The sequence below is a fragment of the Homo sapiens genome, chromosome 3 (genome assembly GCF_000001405.40).
Source record: "Homo sapiens chromosome 3, GRCh38.p14 Primary Assembly".
NCBI lineage: Eukaryota > Metazoa > Chordata > Mammalia > Primates > Hominidae > Homo > Homo sapiens.
In genome coordinates this window covers 46,310,184-46,312,208 of record NC_000003.12, presented here as the reverse complement: position 1 = coordinate 46,312,208, position 2,025 = coordinate 46,310,184, and the positions used below count along the sequence as shown (strand labels likewise).

General features: G+C 41.4%; 1 pseudogene; it reads left to right on the top strand.

Moving 5' to 3' along the window:
- Nucleotides 233-1,821, top strand: UQCRC2P1 (ubiquinol-cytochrome c reductase core protein 2 pseudogene 1; annotated as a pseudogene).

Below are 2,025 nucleotides of genomic sequence, written 5' to 3'. Positions count from 1 at the left end.
TCCCACCCTCACCAGCAGTAACAGGAGCCTCTCCCCACTTTGGGTATCAATGGAGACCAAGTGGATAATGGACTTCTACCCCTACCTGGCAGTAATGAGGCAGTGCCACCCCTTTCCCTGCCAGAGCAGTGTCAAAGGAAACGAGCTAAAATAGAGGTTTTAAATAAGAAATAGAAAATATAAAGAACTACATGGAAATTATAGAAAATACATTTAAAAACTTGCCGAATGGTCCTTTAAGCCAGAAGTTACTATGGGTCACGAACAATCTTGAGACTTTATTCCCTCTTTTTGAGACTTTATTCCCTCAAAGTTGCCCCCAAAGTTAAAGCCACAGCTACCCCCATAGGAGTGGCTCCACATCATCAGGACCTTGAGATCATCAAATTTCCAAATGGTTTTATGATTTCTCCTTTGGAAAACTATGCCCTGCATCAAGAATTGGTTTGTTCATTAAAGCAGGCAGTAGCTATGAGGACTCCAACAATTTAGTAACTTCTCATTTGCTGTGTCTTGCATCCAGTTTGACTACGAAAGGAGCTTCATTTTTCAAGATAGCCCATGACATTGAAGCAGCTGGTGGTAAATTAAGTGTAATTGCAACAAGAGAAAACATAGCTTACATCATGGAATGTCTGCAGAGTGATATTGATATTCTAATGGAGTTCCTGCTCAGTGTCGCCACAGCACCAGGATTTGGTCATTGGGAAGTAGATGCCTTCAGTCTCAGCTAAGGATAGACAGATCTGTGAATTTTCAGAATCCACAGGCACATGTCATTGAAAATTTGCATACTGAAGCTTATTGGGATGCCTTGGCTAATTCCTTGTATTGTCCTGGCTATAGGATTGGAAAAGTGACATGGGAAGAGTTACATTACTATGTTTAGAACCACTTCACAAGTGCAAGAATGGCTTGGTTGGACTTGGTGTGAGTCACCCTGTTCTAAAGCAAGTTGCTGAATAGTTTCTCAACAGGAGGGGTGGGTTTCTTTTGTCTGGTACAAAAGCCAAATACTCTGGAGGTGAAATTCAGGAACAAAATGGAGACAGTCTTGTCCATGCTTGCTCTTGTAGCAGAAAGTGCTGCCACAAGAAGGGCACAGCAAATGCATTTAGTGTTTTTCAGCATATCAAGAGGGACACCATATGTCAAGGGGCACAGTGATGCCACCAGCTATCTATAGCAGGCTATTGCCAAGGCAATTCACCAGCCACTTGCTATTTCTGTTTTTAATGCTAGTTACTCCAATTTTGGACTCTTCAGGATGTACATTGTCTTCCAGGCTGCAGCTGCTGGAGATGTTATCAAGGCTACCTATAACCAAGTGGAAATAATTGCTCAAGAAAAGCTTTTCAATGTCCAGGCTGCCAAGAACAAACTGAAAGCTGGATACCAAATATAAGTGAAGTCTTCCGAGGGTTTCATAGAAGAAGTCAGGCCCCAGGCTGTAGTTACTGGTTCTTACAAGCCAATATCACCAGTCCTTCAGTAGATTAGTTGGTTGGCTAGTGCTGTCATCATCAATTCTGCAAAGAAGTTTGCTTCTGGCTAGAAACAAACTTCTACTTGTTAATGGCAACAATTGGAACATACACCTTTGGTTGATGAGTTGTAATACAGAAGCACATATTATAGGAAAGGGCTGAACATTCTCTCAGCCCAGAGCCTCAAACACATGAAAGCCAGAAGTATCTAACATTTATCTTTGTGTGTTTTGTTTTTTTTTTTTTTTACAATGAGGTAAAATGCCTTAAAGCATAAATGTAGGCAATTATTCCCAGCTTACCTAAAGTCAATAAAACATTTTGCTTAAATGTTAGAAGAAAACTGACTGGATGGGTTCAAGAGCAGAATGGAGGAGACAGAGAAAAGAATCAGTGAACTGGAAGAATGAACAATAGAAATGACCTAATCTGAACAACAGACAGAAAATTTAAAAAAAAAATTATGGCCAGGCGTGGTGGCCCGCGCCTGTAATCCCAGCACTTTGGGAGGCCAAGGCGGGCAGATCACTCAGGGCCA